This window comes from Homo sapiens, chromosome 21, assembly GCF_000001405.40.
Source record: "Homo sapiens chromosome 21, GRCh38.p14 Primary Assembly".
Classification (NCBI taxonomy): Eukaryota; Metazoa; Chordata; class Mammalia; order Primates; family Hominidae; genus Homo; species Homo sapiens.
Genome location: NC_000021.9, coordinates 20,730,086 through 20,731,016, shown reverse-complemented (window position 1 = coordinate 20,731,016; position 931 = coordinate 20,730,086). Strand labels below are relative to the sequence as shown.

The window sequence follows — 931 nt, the reverse complement described above, 5'->3', positions numbered from 1 at the left end:
GAGGGAGAGCAACAACCAGGTACCTAATGTGCCAGATAACAAGTATATCAGATCCTGAGAGAGGTGTAGGGGAAGGAGGAATATCGGTGACCTTCATCTTTCAGATCTGCCTTTGGAGCCTTCCTCATGAAGGAATCACTGTGGGGCTTCTCTCTGGAACTGTTGCAAGAAGTTTCAGTTTAACCACCTGCTGGGTTAGCTATGCCCAGCAGACATCTCTGTCCACAATTAGATCACTATTTGCCTTAATCTTATGGAGAAATCTATAGAAACTGCAAAGAATGGCTCCTTCTTCTGAATCTTCTAAGCAACTTGTCAACACAGGTGTACTGTCTCTGCTTCATGCCTATTTTTACAGCTGCTCCTTAGTCATTCCCCGGGGAGAAGCATGCCATCCGGCTGATAACATAGAATACAGTATACGGTATAGCTTGAACTGAATGCCCCCAGCAGGCTCTCCGCAAACAGGGATTAAACCGAGTTATTCAAGCTAAACTGGGAACGCTGAGAACTACTCAACTATATTTCCTGAGTAGAAGCCAGTTGTTAACTTTTTTCTTTCTGCAAACAAGATGTCTTGCTCGTCAGATGTGGTCATAAGAGAACTTCAAGTGTATAAGGAAATATTACTTGGCCCTAGAAGATTTTCAGGTCAGCCTCAATTCAGTGACCTATTTTAGATTTAAAAATGCCCTAAAATTCCTTCTTGCATGCAAAGGTGGAGACCGTAATTGTTAATATATTCTTTTGTTCAGGATTAAGGTCTCCAGCCCTATGGAATAGTCAATTCAGAAACCTAAGGAGAAAGTCGCATGGCTTTCCAAGGTAGACCCTGATGGCTTATGGGATTTGTTCAACTGGTTAAGACCAGGATGCTGGGGAGTGGTTTAAATATGCAGAACGGCCTCATCCTGCTGCTTGAGGTGGTGTT

The 931-nt window shown here is 43.3% G+C and overlaps 1 annotated feature.

Annotated features, from left to right (window-relative positions):
* Positions 299-499: a silencer, noted in NCBI's record as "peak4375 fragment used in MPRA reporter construct". NCBI's record gives its function as "represses an SCP1 promoter by STARR-seq MPRAs in K562 erythroleukemia cells {active_cell/tissue: K562}" and the evidence as "EXISTENCE:reporter gene assay evidence [ECO:0000049][PMID:32103011]".